Source organism: Homo sapiens, chromosome 21 (genome assembly GCF_000001405.40).
Source record: "Homo sapiens chromosome 21, GRCh38.p14 Primary Assembly".
NCBI lineage: Eukaryota > Metazoa > Chordata > Mammalia > Primates > Hominidae > Homo > Homo sapiens.
Genome location: NC_000021.9, coordinates 43567272 through 43588302, shown reverse-complemented (window position 1 = coordinate 43588302; position 21031 = coordinate 43567272). Strand labels below are relative to the sequence as shown.

Sequence of the window (21031 nt, the reverse complement as noted above, 5' to 3'; positions counted from 1 at the left end):
GGGTTCAAGCGATTCTCCTGCCTCAGCCTCCCAAGTAGCTGGAATTACAGGTGCCTGCCACTACACCTGGCTAATATTTGTAATTTTAGTTGAGACAAGGTTTCACCATGTTGGCCAGGCTGGTCTCAAACTCCTGACCTCAGGTGATCCACCCGCCTCGGCCTCTCGGAGTGCCGGGATTACAGGCGTGAGCCACCGTGCCGGGCCAGTACTGGATGACTTCTCACATTTAGTTGACATTAGGTCTGGCTTTGCTTGGCTTCTGGGTCAGTTGCCCTGAAACAATATGCCAGTCTCTACTTAGGCTAATTTGCAGCCAGTAATCCTACTTTCTCATAAAAAGAGGAGTTTAGCCTAAATGTTCTCTATGGCCCTTTTAGCTCTGGTCCTCCGGAAGTTTCCGGGGGTGAGTGAAAATTGTAATGAGTTTCATCTTAATTTATGCAGTTCTGTCAGTAGCAAGCAACCCAAGTTTCTGCCACTCATCAGAGAGTGTGTTCTTTGACTCAGGTGGACTTTTCCTGCTTAAGCTTTGGCTTATGGATAATATGAGGTGCTTGTTAAGTTGTGTTAATGCAATTTTTTTTTGCTTCTGGGACATCATCCCAGGCTTTCCTTTTTTTTTTTTTTTTTTTTTGAGACAGAATTTCGCTTTTGTTGTCCAGGTTGGAGTGCAATGGTGTGATCTCTGCTCACCACAACCTCCGCCTCCCGGCTTCAAGCGATTCTCCTGCCTCAGCCTCCTGAGTAGCTGGGATTACAGGCATGTACCACCACGCCCGGCTAATTTTGTATTTTTAATAGAGATGCGGTTTCTCCATGTTGGTCAGGTTGGTCTCGAACTCCCGCCCTCAGGTGATCTGCCCGCCTCAGCCTCCCAAAGTGCTGGGATTATAGGCGTAAGCTACCGTGCCTGGCCATCCCAGGCTTTCTTATCCGTGAAAATAATTACTGGTTCTTTCAACACAGTGAGCACAGCCCAACCCCTCATAAATCCATTGCAAGGTCATCTTACTTTAGAATCTTTAGAATCATTTGTTCTAAAGTCAAACAAAACAAGATCTGTTTAAGCCTAGGATGTTTGACTCCTGAGTTATGTATGGGATTACTTTAAATCTTAAATTATAGAATTTCATATGTGTTTTAGAAGGTGAATATATAGTTTACTATAGAATAGGAAAATAGGAACAAAAATAGTTCGTGGTGCTGGTGGTAGTGGGACTGTTTTCAGAATTTAGACTGTTTTCAGAATCTAGAATCATAACTGCTTAGGACTAAGAGATAATTTGAAAACTGGCTTCTTCTATTCCTTTGGTTTTAGGTAGATCTAGTTTATGAAAATATACTGGACAGATAAGAAGCTCTTCTAATTTTTAAAAGATCGAGGAAAAGGAGAATTGTTTGAACCCAGGAGGCAGAGGTTGCAGTGAGCCAAGATCGTGCCACTGCACTTCAGTCTGGGCAACAAGAGTGAAACTTCATTAAAAAAAAAAATAAGATCGAGGAAAAAAAAGATCTCATTATCCCTTTCAGTAATCAGTTCCTACTTTTATCAATTTCTGTTAAGAAATTTGATGTATTTTAATAAGTACACGAGCTTTGGACTCATTCAACCCAGATTTGAATTGCAGCTTTCCTGCTTGTGAACTTACCTAACCTTTTAGAATCCTGCTTTTCTGATGTATAAAATGAGAATTTCTACCTCAAGGATCTTAATGTATATTAAAATGCAATAGTGTTTAGGCCAACACCTAATGTAGTAGGTGTTAAATAGGTGCTAGTTTTCCTCTTTTATTTCTAGTCTAAATATCTCATGCTTTAGGGATAAAAGACTTGAAATGAAAAAAAAAATCTCATGCTGCAATGAAAACTCATTTTCTTTTGTTTGCTTGCTGTAAAGGTGGCAGGTTACTTTCAAGTATCTAGACTTCCCTGATTCAGAGTACGAGACCAGTTGCTATTAATCATCCCTGACTAAATCATCTCATTTCCTTTAACGTTTGCTAGATTTCATTTGTCTTCCCTTCGTTCAGCTACATGGCTGGCTTTTTCCCAGGCTTTGTCCACATTCTTCACATTCCTCTTAAGCCACAGAACTGGCATAGAACTCGAGCAAATAGCCGACGAGGACAGAGTGTATTGAGATGGTGGCCACATGTTACGTAACTGTTAATGCAGACTAGTATTGTGATCACAGGAAACTGCATTTCCTACCATGTTTTCAATGCTAAAAGGGCAGATAGGCGGTTATTTCCATCTTACATCTATTTGGCTTGTCTGAGTAACACAAAGCATTGATCAGGTTCTCCAGATTTGTGCCTTCAGCCCAGACCTCTGTCCCGAGCTCTAGCCTCATAGATTGAGCTGTCTACTTGATATCTCCACATGGACATCTAATAAACATTCACATTCAATGTGTTCAGACTAAACCCCTAATCTTCCCTCACACCAAATTCTAATTTCTATTGATTACAATTCTATTTTTCTAGTGTCTCAGACTTTTAAAAAACCTTCGAGTGATTCTTGACTCCTTGACTCCTTTTAATCTCTTACGCCCTCATTCAGTCTGTTAGGAAATCCTGATGGCTCTACTTTCAAAACATCTCCAGAATCTGATCACCAGCTAGCACTCCCACCTAGGTGTTTTTTTTTTTTTTGAGACAGAGTCTTGGTCAGTTGCCCAGGCTGGAGTGCAGTGGCACAGTCTTGGCTCATTGCAACCCTCTGCCTCCTGGGTTCAAGCGATTCCCCTGTCTCAGCCTCCCAGTAGCTGGGATTACAGGCGCCCATCACCACGCCCAGCTAATTTTCCCACCCAGTTTTGAGCCACCATCACCTTGGGTTGAGAGCTTCCTATAGGTCTCCCTATGTTCCATCCTTCCAGGCCATGAACTGGGAGCCAGGGGTATGATGGAAAAATCCCTGACCACCTCTCCTTACTGAACAGTCAAAATGCGGAGTGAGACACAAAAAAACATTTTACTTACTTATTTGATACAGTGTCTTGCAGTGTCACCTAGGCTGGACTGTAGTGGAGTGATGCTAGCTGACTGTAAATCGAATTCCTGGGCTCATGGGATCCTCCTGCTCCAGCCTCCTGAGTAGCTAGGACTACAGGCATGCACCACCATACTTGGCTAGTTTTTACAACATTTTTTTGTAGAGATGAGGTTTCACTATGTTGCCCAGGCTGGTCTTGAACTCCTGGTCTCAAGTGATCTTCCTGCCTTGGCTTCCGAAAGTGCTGGGATTACAGGTGTGGGCCACTGTTCCTGGCCGCAAAATAAATAAATAAATAAATAAATAATTAAATAAAATTATACCTAGAGCATGAAAGTCAAGTGAAAGTGGGAGGACAGAGAGGTTAACAGAGAACTTAACTTCTTGCTTTGAGGGTATTTTTCAAACTTGTCCTTTAGTTTCCATGGCTCCCAGGGTGTGGGGGATAGGAGACAAAGCCCCGGTCCCACCTCAGGTGAGCATCCTGAGAGGAAACTCCCAAGGGTCTTTCCCAGCAGTGTCGGGGTAAACTGAAGATACTCGCTTAATCCGAAAGTTTTTTAAGGAAAATTGTTTTGACCTTTGGCATTGAGTGTAGTGGGGGGAAAATCTCTTCTGAGAATTAGTAGGCTGGTTTTCATGCAGGTTTGAAGCTTTTATTCAAGCCACCTAGGTGGTCCCTAAGAGAGTTAATTTTTATATCAACTTGATTGGACCATGAGATGCCCAGACATTTGGCCAAACATTAACTCTGGGTATGTCTATGAGGATGTTTCTGGATAAGATTAACATTTGAACCAGGAGACTGAGTACAGCAGATTGCCTTCAGCCAGTTGGGTGGCTCTCATCCAGTCAGTTGGAGCCCCAACAGAATAAAAAGGCTGAATAAAAGGGATCTCTGCCTTGACTGTTTGAGCTGGGATGTGGGCCTTTTCCTGCCTTTGAACTCAAACTGAAACACCAGCTCTTGGGTCTCGAGCCTGCTGGCTTTCACACTGGCACTACACATTGGCTGTCCAGAGTCTCCAGTGCATGGACTGCAGATATTGGGACTCCCTCATCTCCCTCATCAGGTCTTCATGTCCCTCAGCAGGCCCTTCATCTCCCTCAGCAGGTCCTCATCTCCCTCAGCAGGCCCTTCATCTCCCTCGGCAGGCCCTTCATCTCCTTCGGCAGGTCCTTATCCCCCTTAGCAGGTCTTCATCTCCCTCAGCAGGCCCTTCATCTCCCTCAGCAGGCCCTTCATCTCCTTCGGCAGGTCCTCATCTCCCTTAGCAGGTCTTCATCTCCCTCAGCAGGCCCTTCATCTCCCTCAGCAGGCCCTTCATCTCCTTCGGCAGGTCCTCATCTCCCTTAGCAGGTCTTCATCTCCCTCAGCAGGCCCTTCATCTCCCTCAGCAGGTCTTCATCTCCCTCAGCAGGTCTTCATCTCCCTCAGCAGGCCCTTCATCTCCTTCGGCAGGTCCTCATCTCCCTCAGCAGGCCCTTCATCTCTCTCAGCAGGTCCTCATCTCCCTCAGCAGGCCCTTCATCTCCCTCAGCAGGCCCTTCATCTCCCTCGGCAGGTCCTCATCTCCCTTAGCAGGTTTTCATATCTCCCTCAGCAGGCCCTTCATCTCTCTCAGCAGGTCCTCATCTCCCTCAGCAGGTCCTTCATCTCCCTCAGCAGGTCTTCATCTCCCTCAGCAGTCCCTTCATCTCCCTCAGGAGGTCCTCATCTCCCTCAGCAGGTCTTCATCTCCCTCAGCAGGTCCTCATCTCCCTCAGCAGGCCCTTCATCTCCCTCAGGCCCTTCATCTCTCTCAGCAGGTCCTCATCTCCCTCAGCAGGCCTTCATCTCCCTCAGCAGGCCTTCATCTCCCTCAGCAGGTCCTCATCTCCCTCAGCAGGCCCTTCATCTCCCTCAGCAGGCCCTTCATCTCCCTCAGCTGGCCCTCATCTCCCTCAACAGGTACTCATCTCCCGCAGCAGGCCCTCATCCCCCTCACCAGGCCCTCATCCCCCACAGCAGGTCTTCATCTCCCTCAGCAGGCCCTTCATCTCCCTCAGCAGGCCTTCATCTCCTTCAGCAGGCCTTCATCTCCCTCAGCAGGTCCTCATCTCCCTCAGCAGGTCCTCATCTCCCTCAGCAGGTCCTCATCTCCCTCAGCAGGCCCTTCATCTCCCTCAGCAGGCCCTTCATCTCCCTCAGCAGGCCTTCATCTCCTTCAGCAGGCCTTCATCTCCCTCAGCAGGTCCTCATCTCCCTCAGCAGGTCCTCATCTCCCTCAGCAGGCCCTTCATCTCCCTCAGGCCCTTCATCTCTCTCAGCAGGTCCTCATCTCCCTCAGCAGGCCTTCATCTCCCTCAGCAGGCCTTCATCTCCCTCAGCAGGTCCTCATCTCCCTCAGCAGGCCCTTCATCTCCCTCAGCAGGCCCTTCATCTCCCTCAGCTGGCCCTCATCTCCCTCAACAGGTACTCATCTCCCGCAGCAGGCCCTCATCCCCCTCACCAGGCCCTCATCCCCCACAGCAGATCTTCATCTCCCTCAGCAGGCCCTTCATCTCCCTCAGCAGGCCTTCATCTCCTTCAGCAGGCCTTCATCTCCCTCAGCAGGTCCTCATCTCCCTCAGCAGGTCCTCATCTCCCTCAGCAGGTCCTCATCTCCCTCAGCAGGCCCTTCATCTCCCTCAGCAGGCCCTTCATCTCCCTCAGCAGGCCTTCATCTCCTTCAGCAGGCCTTCATCTCCCTCAGCAGGTCCTCATCTCCCTCAGCAGGTCCTCATCTCCCTCAGCAGGCCCTTCATCTCCCTCAGCAGGCCCTTCATCTCCCTCAGCAGGCCCTTCATCTCCCTCAGCCGGCCCTCATCTCCCTCAACAGGTACTCATCTCCCGCAACAGGCCCTCATCTCCTGCAGCAGGCCCTCATCCCCCTCACCAGGCCCTCATCCCCCACAGCAGGTCTTCATCTCCCTCAGCCGGCCCTCATCTCCCGCAACAGGCCCTTATCTCCCACAGCAGGTCTTCATCCCCCTCAGCAGGCCTTCATCCCCCTCAGCAGGCACTCATCTCCCTCAGCAGGCCCTCATCCCCCACAGCAGGCCCTCATCCCCCACAGCAGGCCCTCATCTCCCACAGCAGGCCCTCATCCCCCACAGCAGGGCCTCATTCCCCACAGCAGGCCCTCATCCCCCACAGCAGGGCCTCATTCCCCACAGCAGGCCCTCATCTCCCACAGCAGGCCCTCATCTCCCACAGCAGGCCCTCATCCCCCACAACAGGGCCCCTCAGCAGGCCCTCATCCCCCACAGCAGGCACTCATCTCCCACAGCAGGCCCTCATCCCCCACAGCAGGCCCTCATCTCCCACAGCAGACCCTCATCCCCCACGGCAGGCCCTCATCTCCCACAGCAGGGCCTCATTCCCCACAGCAGGCCCTCATCCCCCACAGCAGGGCCCCTCAGCAGGCCCTCATCTCCCTCAGCAGGCCCTCATCTCCCGCAGCACAGACCCTTCTGACCACTGGCTAAGGTGAGACTTGGCAGTGCCAGCTATATGGCTGTGGCCACAGCAGTGATTTTAGTGGTGGGTGTGTGCTCTGAGCTGGGCCATAGTCTTTCTCCAGGAGTTTTCTGGCTTCAGCTGCTGAAGAACAGTGTTTTTTTTGCCTTTCTTGGGCCGTGAAACTATTGGATGTGACTCTAGAGCTGCCTGTGGCCGTGTTCCTGGCCACCTGGAGAAAATTTATCTGTGTTGTCAGTTGCTGAAGCCAAGACATAAATGCTGACCTGAGATGCAGAGGAGCCCTATGGCTTGCAGTCAGCTTTATCCCTGTCCAGGTGGGCTGTATAGCTTTTCCTCAGATTTTGAGTTATCCCAGCATCTTTCATAAGTGACTCCTTTTATCCTTCTTTCTTTTCTTTCTTTTTTTTTTTTTGAGACAGAGTCTCACTCTGCCACCCAGGCTGGAGTTCAGAGGCGTGATCTTGGCTCACTGCAAGCCCTGCCTCCCAGGTTCACGCCATTCTTCTGCCTCAGCCTCCCAAGTAGCTGGGACTACAGGCACCTGCCACCACGCCCGGCTAATTTTTCGTATTTTTAGTAGAGACAGGGTTTCACCGTGTTAGCCAGGATGGTCTCGATCTCCTGACCTCGTGATCCGCCCGCCTCGTCTTCCCAAAGTGCTGGGATTACAGGCGTGAACCACTGCGTCCGGCTGCCTTTTACCTTTCTTAAGCTAACTTAAGCATCATCTTCCTTCCCTTGAGGGCAGTGTGCCCACTCCCCCAACTTTGATTCCACATCTTTTCCATGGCACCAGTTGCCTTCTGATATGGCATCTGATTCCCTTCAGTGTCTGGCATTTGGCTATATCACGTAACACAGAGAAAGGCCAGAGGGTTTAGTAACTAGTGAATATTCAGTGATGTGTCTTCATAATTCTTTTCAACCCAAATATGTGGCATTGTCAGAATACTGTATATGTTATGATTCTAGTAAGCAACTTCTTTATTATGTGAGCTGTGGATGGCCATTTGATAGAAAAGCAAAATATTTAAGATCTTCACCGACAAAGAATTTTACATGTGAATGTTTTATTATGTTGGTCAAGTGTTTCTCTTGATAGTTTTGCGTTAGCCCAGTGTTGAGCCTTTTAGTGTAAACACGGGGCTAATAACGTGAGCTACTACAAAATGTGGTTTTTATCTTTTAAAAAATGTCTCAAACATTATTGACTTGAAACTTCTCCTTCAGAATGTCCAATAGAACAAAGGTGTCAGCCTTTCCACAAGAGAATGCTGGGACTGTTTTCTTTGATTAATCAATGCTTACATGATAACTTTAACAAGAAACATAATGTAAATGTTTGATTTTTCACTGTTGATATAATTGAGTGGTCAAATGGCCACTTCGTACGTCAAAGGATGTCAAAAAACATTTGGCCTGCATATGTCCAGTCTGACAAGCTGAGCGCAATAGAAACTTTAGTGTAGTCTGGTCAGGATACAATTAACTCATAGGCACATTGAGAAAGGGGAGTGAGTTTACATGAAGATGAATTTGGTGTGTGACATGGTCAGTCTGACATAGTAAAAAAAATCCAAATGGAAATGTCCAAGAAGTAGTTGGAGACAAGAAGCTTAGAGTTCACAAGAAACTTGCTAGTGACATGGGTTTGGGAGTCATTCTGAAAAAGGTGACAAACAGAAAGACTGGCAGTGTAGGGAACATGACACGGGGAGGCTGGCCGAGAGGCCTGAGCAGAGGGATGTAGGGCTCATGAGAGCCCTGAGCTAGGAGACAGGTCGAGGCATCAGAAAGCAGGCTGGCCCCTCTCCTCCTGTATTCTGGTTTGTGATTCTGGGTGAGTCCCTTCACTTCCATGATATTCTGTCATCCACAAAATAGAGATATAAACACTGTTCCTGTCTGTTTGGAACAGGGTGGCTGTGAGAATTGAGTGGAACAGCAATTGGAAATGCTTTATACATTTTAAAAAGAGGGACAGAAACCATTTCTTTGAGAAGAATACAATGGCTGTTAGAGTCGGAACTCAAAGAAAACAAGAGTGAAGAGAAGCATTTGGCAACAGAGAGTTATTGATGAACTCTGAAAAGGTTCCCATAGAGCACAGGGTCAGGCACAAGGGTGGCTTAGGAGGAATGAGCAGAGAAGAAAGAGGGGCGGGTAGTAAGGTTGATGCTGCTTTGGGGATTTGTTGGTGAAAGGAGAGTTTTGTGTGTCTGTATTAAGGGTAATCAGATTCTAATTTTCAGGATTTCAGTCTAAAATGAAAAATAAGAACAAGAATTAACTATTTTACTTCAAAATACACTGTGGCTTTCTTCATATTTTCTTGGGCTAGGAGTTCACCGTCCCCTGCAGTTCATCTTTAGACGGTGGCATCTGTGGCATCAAAGTAGGCTACTAAAATATAATGCTTGCTCCATTTTTGTTGTTTGTTTTACTGTAAGCCACAAATATTGGAATAATTTTTATAATAACTCTGCATGAATTCTTCATTATTCTTTAAGAAAAGATGTCGTCGAATGTTCTTCATTAACTCATTGATGAAGGATCTGGGTGTTTAGGATTGTTGTTGTGAGATTAGAAAACCGCAGCTAATGAAATCTTCCATATGATTTGTAAGCCTCCCAGCTGTGCATACAGTCAACTGATGACAATCTTAGTTACATAATGTCTTGGAAACCCTTTCTATTCAGATGTCAAAAGAAACCCTTTAGGAGATGAAAATTGGGGAGTTAGCATTTGTCAAATATTTGTGGGTTATGTTTCTTGGATACAAATATACCATTTGTGTAAGTGCTGAAATTGTTAAGAAAAACTTGGACATCCTGGGCCCTGTCAAAGTCCTGACATCCCAGAGGCGGTCCTGGCCGGGCTGGAAGGTACACAACTAGTCTTCTCTTCTGGCTCATGCCCCTCCTAAGCCAGAGTGCCCTGCCAGGCCACAGAGACCTGGGTGGAGCAGACAGCCATGGCCCTGGACAGCCACACAGCTTCAGCCCAGAAACAGCACAGGGTAGGCGCCCTAGCCCCATCTAACCTGGGAGGCTGTGTAGGAGACCTCTGCTTACATTCTGTGGGGCTGTAGGACCCTTCAGAGGCTTTCTTATAGTTGTGTCAGTGACAGCATGCTAAGGTTATCACCTGTGTGTTGTGCAACACAGAGCCATCCATGAGAGAGCGATGAGGGTGGTACAGTGCCGAGCTCGTCGCAGCATGGAGAAGGACCTATGTTGCCTTTCTTCATGATTGATTTGGTTGTGTCTGTGTAGAATGGACACCATGGATGGCTTGTTCTGCACCCTTTTTCCCTTTCTTCATTTCTAACAGAACCCCAACTTTATTCCGGGCTCCATCCTCCCTTTCGTGGATCATATGACTCAGGGAAAGAGAAGGGAGTTTCATAGAGAGAGAGAAAAAAAGAGAATGCACACACACACACACATCTCTAGGGAATCTCATCCCTAGAGATTGTATTAATTGGGCAGGAGTATGGAGCAGGGCCCAGGCATCAGGATTTGTAAGTCTCTCTGAAGGATCCTAATGTGAGACAGGGTTGAAAATGGATGGTCTGAGCCAGCCCTAGCCATCTTACTGTGTGCCGGTGATGGGTTTAGGGCTCAAGGCATAAGGTGGTCAGTGCAGGGCATCCTTCTGCCAACAGTGCATGGTCCATGTGACGCACGTTCGTGTGAAGAGAGTCCACCAAACAGGCTTTGTGTGAGCAACAAGGTGCAGGCAGGCCGAGTCCAAAAAAGGAGTCAGCAAAGGGTGGTGGGATTATCATTAGTTCTTATAGGTTTGGGATAGGCGGTGGAGTTAGAAGCAATTTTTTGTGGGCAGGGAGTAGATCTCACAAAGTACATTCTCAAGGGCGGGGAGAATATTATGAAGTACCTTCTTAAGGGCAGGGGAATATCACAGAGTCCATTATCGCAAGGGCAGGGAGGGTGTATTGTCATAAGGTCAGTTGATCAGTTAGGGTGGGGCAGGAACAGATCACAATGGTGGAATGTCATCAGCTAAGGCAGGACCTGGCTATTTTCACTTCTTTTGTGGATCTTCAGTTGCTTCAGGCCATCTGGGTGTATACGTGCAGGTCACAGGGGATATGATGGCTTAGCTTGGGCTCAGAGGCCTGACAGTCCAGAGGTGGGCACATGACCTGAGTAGCTACATCCAGATCCAAGGGATGGGGGAGAGACTTCTTCACTGGAGTTGAATGAGGAAGCCTGTGGCCCCGAATGCCAGCCTTACAGTTGATGCTGTTGGGGCAGGCAGAGAAAATAACCCAGGCCTTCCATAACATAATTGAGACATTGGATCCAGCCCTGGACTTCTCGTTTTAAGAAATAATAAATGTGATTACGTTTAAGCCACTTTGAGCTGAAGTTTTGTACTTTTAGCTGAAGTATTTTGTACTTCCAGTTGAAGTATTTTGACTGTTTCTGTAGTAATACAGTCACTAAGTGTCCTAAGTCAATTCCAGATTTATTGATATGCAGAATAAAGGGAAATAAAGAAGGCGTGATAATTGGAGGTAACATCTTCATTTTCTTAAAAACATATCCTGCCAGCACCAACTTACTTGCTTTGGTTTTCTTAAAATGTGAAGACACCAAATGCAAATAAAGAGGTGAACAGAGCCCCCTGCATGTGGTTGAGAAGTGGAGGTCGAGGGATGGGGTGGTGGAGTGCCAACCTGCATGTCAGCTGTGGGTTTGGGGCAAGCTCCTTGACCACCTGAAGAATGGTGTCGCTGACATCACTTCAGAGCAATTACGAGAATTAAATTCGTTGACCTACATAGAGTACCCAGCACAGGCACTGGTGATAGGCTTAGGTTGAACCACATGAAATTGCCAGTGTTTATCCACTTTAGACCAATGAAAATGACAATTTCACATGGTTTAGCTGAATAATTTCTTTAATAATGATAGCTGTTATTAATAATAAGTGAAATTGGGAATTGAGGATGTCTGTGAGCATAACTAAAGCATTAATTTGGCTTCAAATAATGTTCAGTGAAAGTTTTTAAAAACTGAAATTCGCCATGTTTCACTTCACTTTGCATGTTTTAAGACCTTTAGACAAATTTAATTTTTCAAGATTTTGCAGCGTATTTGTAGGAATACAGAAGATTATAACTGTGTCATCCTTTAAAATGCTTAGTGTTACCAAGGCAAGCTTTTCATCAATGTGATGTGGTAGTGGAGGGTTGCCTTCTATATAGTGTTGTGTAGACTGTACATGACTGGCGCCTTTGTCATGAACAGCAATGGAAGCAAACGTGAATATAGCACGTTGACTTGTGCATTTACTATGTGACAGCTGCTGGACTAGAGCCTTTCCTTATGGGATTTGGTGTAATCTTTATGCCAGACATAGTTTATATGTGGGGACACTGAGGCTTAGTAGTGTAGAGGCTCTGTGTAACCACTAGTAATGACTAGTAAGAGGTGGAAATGACTTAAATTCATGGTTTATAGACAAGTTTAAGGCTTGCAGACAATTAGGAACTCACAAAACAAATAGGAAACCATTGACTTATTTTCCACTTAGAAATTGAAGTCACTGATGTCTTGGCCCAGGAAGATGGCCTCACATCTGAGATTGATATCATTACATACTGTTGAATATGAGAATTTGGAAATGACTTTTTTTTTTTTTTTTTTTGGAGACAAAATCTTGCTCTGTCATCCAGGCTGGCGTGCAGTTGCGCGATCTTGGCTTACTGCAACCTCTGCCTCCCAAGTTCAAGGGATTCTCCTGCCTCAGCCTCCTGAGTAGCTGGGACTACAGGCGCACGCCACCACACCCAGCTAATTTTTGTATTTTCAGTAGAGATGGGGTTTCGCCATGTTGGCCAGGCTGATCTCAAACTCCTAGCCTCAGTGAGCCACCCGCCCCAGCCTCCCAGAGTGTTGGGATTACAGGCATGAGCCACTGCGCCTGGCCGACTTTTGAATGATATTTTAAATATCCTTAGCACTTACCACTGTCTTTTAGTGTGCACTAATCTTGGCTATTCTTTTAACTATAAATAGGAAGAAAGCTACCTTTAGGAGTTTTTTAGTCTATAGTGGGATCCTAACATTAGCTCACGCTGTTGTCCAGCTGGGTTTGTTAAGATGCACTTCCTATTTATTTGGCAGGATTACTCAACAGTAGTGTGTTTCATTTTCTTTTGGGCTAAAGACTTTCCTCCCAAAGTAAAAATGCAGTAATATGTGTGAAAGTAGTTTGTAAGTGGTGAATTGCTAGTCAAGTGTAAGTTATTTTTATCATCCTCTCCTTCTGGAAAGAATCAGGCCGGCAGTTTGTCCCACAGTGTTAGGTATCAGCTCCCCACTTCTTGCAATTGAAGAGCTACAGTGTCTTCTCAAGTTTTTAAAGGGAGTCTGAAAGCTTAGGTGGCGGGTGTAATTCTCTGTGACAGGTTTATGAATTTTTCCACGGAGATGTGCAGGCTTCAAAATAAATTGCCCTTTCAGCATGAAGGGATGAGGCTGCGTCACCTCGAAAGGCGAGCATGCTCATGCAGCCCAGTGGAGCGTCGTGTTTTCATATTCTGTAACTTTTGTGGCTGACTTAGTGCACCTGTTATCAGAACTGTGATATAAATATCCTGTAACATTTGAGGAATTCCAAATCCCGGAGGTCCAAACATTTTGAGTTCCATTTCTTAAAATGGGAATAAGACATGAAGGAGCTGCCTGAAAAGCACAGCAGGAGCTGCGTGAGCAGCAGGAGGGGAGGGAAGGCCCTGCTGCTCCTGTGCCCTGGTTGCCTGTGCGCATGCGGTGAGCCCTGTGGGTTCTGTCAGGCCTGGGAGTGGAAGGAAGCAGAGCCTGAGGCCCTGAGCTGTGTGTCTGCCATGGCTCGTGCTGCTGGCACTTTTGAGCCATCCCTTCATCGGGAGAGAAGAGGAAGCAGCTGGGTTGACGGCACCCCCGTCCCAAGGAGGCTGAGCCGAGAGGAAGCCGTCTCAGAGGAAGGAAAAGCAAGATCAGCCTCGAGGACAGCTGCTCCCCATGGAGGGCGGCCCTGTGTGCCCTGTGGTCTCAGTGTGCGTCGTGGATGTTGGGGTCGGGGAGGACTAGGCCACAGCTTTTACCAGAATTGAAAAAGTGCTTAGGGCTGGGCGCAGTGGCTCAAGCCTGTAATCCCAGCACTTTGGGAGGCCGAGGCGGGCGGATCACAAGGTCAGGAGATCGAGACCATCCTGGCTAACATGGTGAAACCCTGTCTCTACTAAAAATATAAAAAATTAGCTAGGCGTGGTGGCGGGTGCCTGTAGTCCCAGCTACTTGGGAGGCTGAGGCAGGAGAATGGTGTGAACCCGGGAGGTGGAGCTTGCGGTGATCCGAGATCGCACCACTGCATTCCAGCCTGGGCGACAGAGCGAGACTCCGTCTCAAAAAAAAAAAGAGAAAAAGAAAAAGGGCTGAAACTCAAAAAAAGGTTTAGGAACCATTGCTCCCAAGATAATCACCCAACGTGTAGATTTGCTGATGTCTTCAGAGGAGTCAGCCAGTGCATGGCAACTGACTGATTTTTTTATTGTTTCAAATTTAAGTGCTAAATTGAATAGTTGTAGGTTGAAAGGGCGAGATGATGTAGCTGTGCTGTTTTCCAGGGGAAGGCAGGATGCTGGCAGTCTGGTAAGAGATCCTGCTGGGCCTGTGGTCTGGCCTCCTCCCCCTGTGAGAGCGCCACAGTGGTCTTGGTCATGAAAGGCTGCCTCGGGCCCTGCTCACTCACAGAGGCTCATGGAGCAGAAGCCCGTCGATGGCTTGGCCTCGAGGCTGTCTTCACTAGTGACTGGGATGCTCTTGTCCCATGCAGACAAGATGACTTCTTCCTAGTTTCCAACGACTTAGCAAACGAAACTACTCATCACGAGGTTGCCCCGAAAGGTTGGGAATCGAGCAAAGTGGAAGGAAGTGGGGAGCTGGATGCAGATGAGCCCCGAGATGCCCAGGTGTCACCCTCCCCCAGCACAGTGCCAGCTCTACTGATGACCCCTTCCTGTGCTGTCCTCCACACCCTCCCCCAGACTGCCAGGTGCCCCTTCATTTCACAGGGCCTTCCCCCCAGGACGCCACCAGCACAGTTTGTCTGTCCCCTGTGAGGGAGAAGGCAGAGACCAAGTCCTGGTCATTGCCCTGTGCTCAGTTGTGACCCAGAGCTGGGGAAGCAGCAGTGTTTGATCTGCATTTATCACATGAACGAAGGTGTTTTGGTCTGGCCTTCTGAAGATTACAGCAGGGTCATTTTGATTAGAGTTTTGGGTAATTCAGGACTCTTCATATGTTACTGGTTGGATTTCTAATTTATTTTCCAAGATTTCTAATTATGTACATTCTAAGTCTGTGGGTTTTCCTAGTTTCACTCTGAGATGGTAGCATTGTTGACAGTTCTCAAGGGGAGCCTTGGGCTCCTCTAGGCTGTCCCTGTAGCTCTGTGAATGGAACACCCCGCCATGGGCCCACCACACAGCTGGCTCGGCAGTACAGCTGCAATGGGAAGTGGGCAGCGTCAGCCCCCCGTCACACTGGGCAGCAGCATTAGAAAGGTGGCTCTTCTGTGGTCAAAGAGCTAGTAGACAGGGGAGCCAGGATCAAACCCTGCTTTTTCTGATTCCAGAGCACCATGCTTGGCTTACCCATGCAGAGCCGTGGCAGCGGACAGCTGGGGACACACACGTTCTTTCATTCACTCACTCATGGGCTCATTCATGTATTCACCAAACACTTAGAGCCTCGTAAGGACCAGGTGCACCGCTAGTGTTGTAGAACAAGGGAAACTTCTCACTCTCACAGATTTAATGACTGTTCATTGCTATACTCCAATCTTAGTGTGTTTTGTCATTGTTTAGCATTGTGAAAGTAGAATTGATTTGGGTGTAATCCAAAAGTTTTATAGCATAGAGAAGAAAAGTCAAAGATACCAAGAACATCTAAGCCCCAAAGATTGGAACTTTTTCACTTTGCTAAACTGTCAAATACAGGAAAATGTGTGTGTGTTTCAGAGGGCTCTGACTCTGAAGACAGCTCGTTGGAAAAGGCAGCATCTGCAGCTGTCATTTTTGCCAGACATCATTGGTTAGTTTTCCAACAGAGAGGAGAGAGCTCAGCAGCACTCGTCCTTGTCCTCTCGGACACCTGAGTGCCAGGGAGCAGCTGGAGAGGAGGCGTTGCTGCTGAAGCCCTAGGGAGTTCTGTCCACTGGCTTTGTAGTGGGCCTTCCCTGTGTGCGCTTGTGCTGGATGTAGGAAATGTGGGCAACTTCACATGCTCCCTCTCTGCTGCACTTCACACCTCTGTTTCTCCCTCACCTGCTTTCCTGAGGGTGCGTCTTGCCCCAGGGTCCTGTCCACAGCAGGCCACTTCTCCAAGCTTACATGTTCTCCGGGCAGTCACGTCTACACCTATGACTGTCACTGCTTTCTTTATTACAGTGGCACTGAAGTATCTAACTCAAGCCCAAGTCTTTCTCCCAAGCGCTGGGCTAGCACATCCAGTGCCTGTGCCTTTCCTTCACATGGACCTCCCACAGCCACCTCGTGACTCCCAGAGCTGGACATGTCGTGTTTCCCCTGGGGCTCGCCCTGTGTTCTCTCTTGCACATCCTGGCTGATGGTATCCCCTCTCCTCCCCCAAGCCTGGCCTTTCCCTTCACTCCCACTGTGGAGGTCCAGTCAGGCCATGCGTCCTCTTGCTCCTGGCTGTTGTAACTTCCAGAATGTCTGCTGTGTCCTGCAGACTCTGATTGGGTCCAGACTGTGAGCATTTCTTGTTGGGTCACCAGGGGATCTGTTGGTGGTTCCCTCGGCTTTGGACCTAGTCGCTCTGATTCAGCCCTCTCTCTCCCCGCTGTTTTGTTAGACTGATCTTTCACAGTCGGATTACACCACTGACATCCCCACTGAAAACCGGAAGGGGCTCTGGTCAGGGTCCATGATCTGACCTCCTCTGGCCTCAACCCTGGGCATCCTCATCACCGTGTCCCTCTGTTCACACTCCTCACATTGCCTTGTTGGGTTTGGACTCAGAAAGGTGAGAGCTTTTCAGGAGAGAAACAGACTCAAAATGTGAATCTGAGAGAGCTCTATTTTGAGCTATGATATGAAGCAGAATTGATTCCATCTTCAGGGTAGAGCATGAGGGTGGCAGTGAATAGAGGGGCTGAGCCGCCGCACACTCCCCCTGGCCTATAGAAAGGGAAGGCAGAGTTGCTGAGGGGTTCGGAGTTGCTTGGTGAAGGGAGAGCCTGGAAAAGGAGCAGAAAACAAGACCAAGAGGCTGAGGACTGAGTAGAGGCCCCGAGAGCCAGTGTCCAGATGTCTGGGCTCCTTGAAGAAAGCAGAACCAGTAGCATTGTGGTGCTAGAAGCCATATTGAAGGAAGGCTAGGGATGACAAGCACGGAGGGAGGGCCCCACGAGGTATGCAGTGGCAGCAGGTAGGAGTGAAATGACACAGTGTCAGGGCAAAGCTGCGTGGACAGAGGGCGGAGGGGCTGTCCAGGAGTGAGTCAAAGCAGAGGGGCTTCCACAGAGTGCTGTGGAGGGGAGAGGCTTCGTGGACTTTGTGGGGACAGCATTTGTATCTGGGTACCTCTGGAGGATTTCTGATCTAATTTGCGATGAAGAGAATGCTTATATGTCTTTGTTTTAAATATACACAAATAATTCAGTATACATGACTAATGGCATATGTACATATATTTAAAGTAAGGGACGTAAGTATTGCTTTGTCCCACATTGTGTTATCACAATAAACAAAAACATATTTGCTGACACAAACTCTAATATTTAAAACGTATTCTCCATAAACTGAACTTCCCAGAAAACCAAACCAAAAGGTAATTCTTGAAAAGGTAATTCTTTCAGGCCATAAGTATGTGATAATCTGCATGGCCAAAGGAAGCAGAGTAGCCAATGAGAGCCCTAATAGTTATTATTACATTTGTACTTGTTTTACATGTATTATACAATGTGCTGTATAAAACTCTTTGAGATGGATGTACTTTGTATTATATTGACAAGGAAACAGGCTCAGAGAATGTGAAAGATTTACTTGCCAAGGCCAGTCAGTTAGGCAGTACCCCATTTGGCATTCATATCCTGGCCCCTGACTATAAACCCTCTACCTCAGCTTGTGTGTTTTCTCCTGTGCCATGCCGAATTTATAAATTAAACCTACGTTTAATTTGAAACGTAAAAATTATGTGTTGCCTTCATTTTAATAGATGAGGAATTCTGAGAATTCTGTTTGCCAGTGGTATTTCTGTTATGGTTACTGACATCTGCTTATTTTAATGTATTTTGACATGTGTGGAAGTGGGACTAATCTGGTTGTGATTCAGGCTCTGCATATGTATCAGAGCTGACCCATCTGCCATGCAAGTATATTTTAGAAAAGGAGCAAATTCCTGGCTGGGCCAAGTAACACCTTTTCCACTTCTCCTCTGTGTGTGATCTGTTGTCTACAGTATCATGTTGAAAAAGTTGAGAAGCGATTTTGGAAAGAGAGAAGTGAGGAATCTGTTGCCAGAGTGTAATTGAGAAACAGATGAGCTAATGGAAGAAGCCAAGATGTTACATTCCATTATAAGGGAGTTGTAATTTACTGTGAAGGTTGAGGGAATAGCATCTTTTTGGAAAGAAAAAAGTCAGAAATATAAAATAGCCTACTATATAAAGTTTTATGACTCCATCTCATAATCATTTAAATGGGTAGATACTTTATGTTCCTATACCTTCAAAATCCAGCTTGAAACCACCTTCCAGAGGGCCTTTCCAGATTTCACGTCCTCAAGTCTGATCATTCCTTCTTCTGTATCCCATGGTGAATATTACAAATAGAGTCATAGTTGTACCTTCTGAAACTGTTTCATTGTAAAATCCCTTGCTGGGTGTGGTAGCTCATGCTTGTAATCCCAGCACTTTGAGAGGGCGATGCAGGTGGATCACCTGAGGTCAGGAGTTCGAGACCAGCCTGGCCAACATGGTGAAACCCTGTCTCTACTAAAAATACAAAAATTAGCTGGGTGTGGTGGCGAGCGCCTGTAGTCCCAGCTACTCAGGAGGCTGAGGCAGGAGAATCGCTTGAACCTGGGATGTGGAGGTTGCAGTGAGCCAAGATCACACCACTGCACTCCAGCCTGGGGACAGAGGGAGACTTGGTCTCAAAAAAAAAAAAAAAAAAAAGAAAAAAAAAGAAAAATCCCTAACTAGGTAAGAAAGTAAGGACTTGGTAAGAGAGCAGTTGTGTTTCTTTTTTGTCTTCCACAGAATACAGTGAGGGAGCTTTGTGTCCCCTCTTCAGACAATGCTGCCGAGCCAGCGTGCTGAACCTGCCCTGGCTGGGGATGGTGCCGTGGGAGGGTGCGCTTCAGCTTGGAGTACACTCATGAGAGTTAGTCTGCAGGGAGTGGGCCGGCCTGTTTATTACCATTGTTGTTGAGCTCCCAGCACTCGGGTGGGTCAGAATGCAGGGAGTGGACCAGCCCCATTTGTTATAGTTGTCAGGCTCAGGAGTGAGCAAGACAGAGTTCTTTCCCTATGGAACTTATATTCAGGTGAGGAGACTTGATAGTAAACAAATATAATGGCATATATCATATAGTAATGCAAATAAAAATGGAGTGGCATGAGGAGCAGGCTAGAGAGTGTTGGGCGGAGCTGCTCTTTTGGGTATTTGAGTGGATACCTGAAGGAAGCGAAGGACAGCCTGTGCTGAGATCTTTGAGCAGAGCATCACAGGCCAAGGGTGGCAGGGGAAGGGTCTGAGGCAGCTATGGGCAAAGGAGTATTGTAGGAGTGACTAAAGGCCAGTGTCGCTGGAGAGGATAAGAAGGGAATGTTAGGAGTCGGGGCCAGAGGAACAGCTGGTGCTGGGAATCATCATAGTGTAGAAGGTATTTGTAGCCATGGTAGGGGACTGCATTGCTGAGGGAGTGATATAGGGCTGAGGATGAAGCTGTGGGGCCAGCATTTTCAGTGCAGATGAAGATGATGAGGGAGCACAGAACAGCCAGGTGAGGTCGGAGGAAAGCCGGGAAGATGCAGTGTCCTCCAGGGCTAAATGGAAACAGTGTTTCCACATGCAGCTGGGGACTGTCCTGTGCTACTGAGCTGGGCAGGTAAGCCTACAGGCGGGCGGGTGAGAGGGCCCAGCTGTGTGAGTGGGGCTTGGGGGAGCCACTTGGTCTCTTCACCATCATTAGTGGCTCATAAATGAAGCTCACAGTAGCCAGCATGACTTTTATTTTTTATTTTATTTATTTTTTTGAGACGGAGTCTCACTCTGTTGCCCAGGCTGGAGTGCAGTGGTGCGATCTCGGCTCACTGCAACCTCCACCTCCTGGGTTGAAGTGATTCTGCTGCCTCAGCCTCCTGAGTAGTTAGGACTATAGGCATGTGTCACCATGCCCAGCAAATTTTTTTGTATTTTTAGTAGAGACAGGGTTTCAGCATGTTGGCCAGGCTGGTCTCGAACTCCTGACCTCCTGGCCTCCCAAAGCGCTGGGATTACAGGCATGAGTCACCACACCTGGCCACCAACGTGACTTTTAAGACACTCTCAGTCTTAGAATCCTGATTGGGAGGTGGCGTCAGAATCTCAGATGGTAACACTGATGTTTGTGTGTGGCTCACAGATTGAAGGTAATTCTAGGAGGAGTTCCAAAAATGTTCTGAACAATGACAGTATTTTGAGGATGAAGACATAACACCTCATCACACACACAGCTGAGTGCCTTGAAGGGGAGAGCAAACTTTGGGTTTCTGTGAGTTCTGGTACTCTGGTGAAAGGGTAGTGCCCTGGAGACCTCCTGGGCTGTTTCCATTTCAGATGTTGGTCATAGGGCAGGACTCTGTGGAAGGGATAGGCAGTTTTCACAGCAAGGGAGGAACAGCTGCCAGCCCACACTCTCTTCTGCCATATTGAATTATTGAGGGAGAGACCAGTTTTCTTCTGGATGGTTTTTTTTTGTTTAGCAGATTCTTGATGAATATTTGATTTTGGTGGAGAGAAGTTTTCTTCTGTGGAGGACTTTTCAGTTTATTATTACTTGTTCTCTTCATTCTCCTTAGTTCCACACAATGGCAGCTACCTATTCTTTTTTTTTTTTTTTTTTTTTTGAGAAGTTTGGCTGGAATTCTTTTTGTAATCTCTAAATTGTTTTTTAAGAATTAGCTAGATAATTTTTCTCCAGGGAAGGGATTCTTTTGTTTTACATAAGCATATCTTAATAGATATGATTTTAACAATCAAATTATGTTCTAATTGTAACTTAACGGATCTTATGGTCAGTACTTTTGTCGATTTGCCTTGAAATTGATCTGTTTTTATCAAAGGCCCTTTTTATAGTTTAAATGTTCTCCAAGAACAGGCTGAAAGCACACCTGCCCTCCCATTTCCCATGCTTGTGTGTCAAGGATTGTTGTCAATTTCCACAGGCATGTTGCCTTTTTGTGTTAGTTTCACTGTTTGTCAGCCCTTTTAGATAAGAC

At 47.1% G+C, this 21031-nt stretch overlaps 1 protein-coding gene across 17 annotated transcripts in view, besides 1 other annotated feature; it reads left to right on the top strand.

The window, feature by feature from the left end:
* The window catches only part of HSF2BP (heat shock transcription factor 2 binding protein), a 214517-nt gene that overhangs the window by 71186 nt on the left and 122300 nt on the right, over positions 1-21031 (top strand). The window lies entirely within an intron of this gene.
* Positions 4132-4633: an enhancer, noted in NCBI's record as "H3K27ac hESC enhancer chr21:45003551-45004052 (GRCh37/hg19 assembly coordinates)". NCBI's record gives its function as "activates a minimal SCP1, AML or CMV promoter by ChIP-STARR-seq in primed H9 embryonic stem cells {active_cell/tissue: H9 hESC(primed)}" and the evidence as "EXISTENCE:reporter gene assay evidence [ECO:0000049][PMID:30033119]".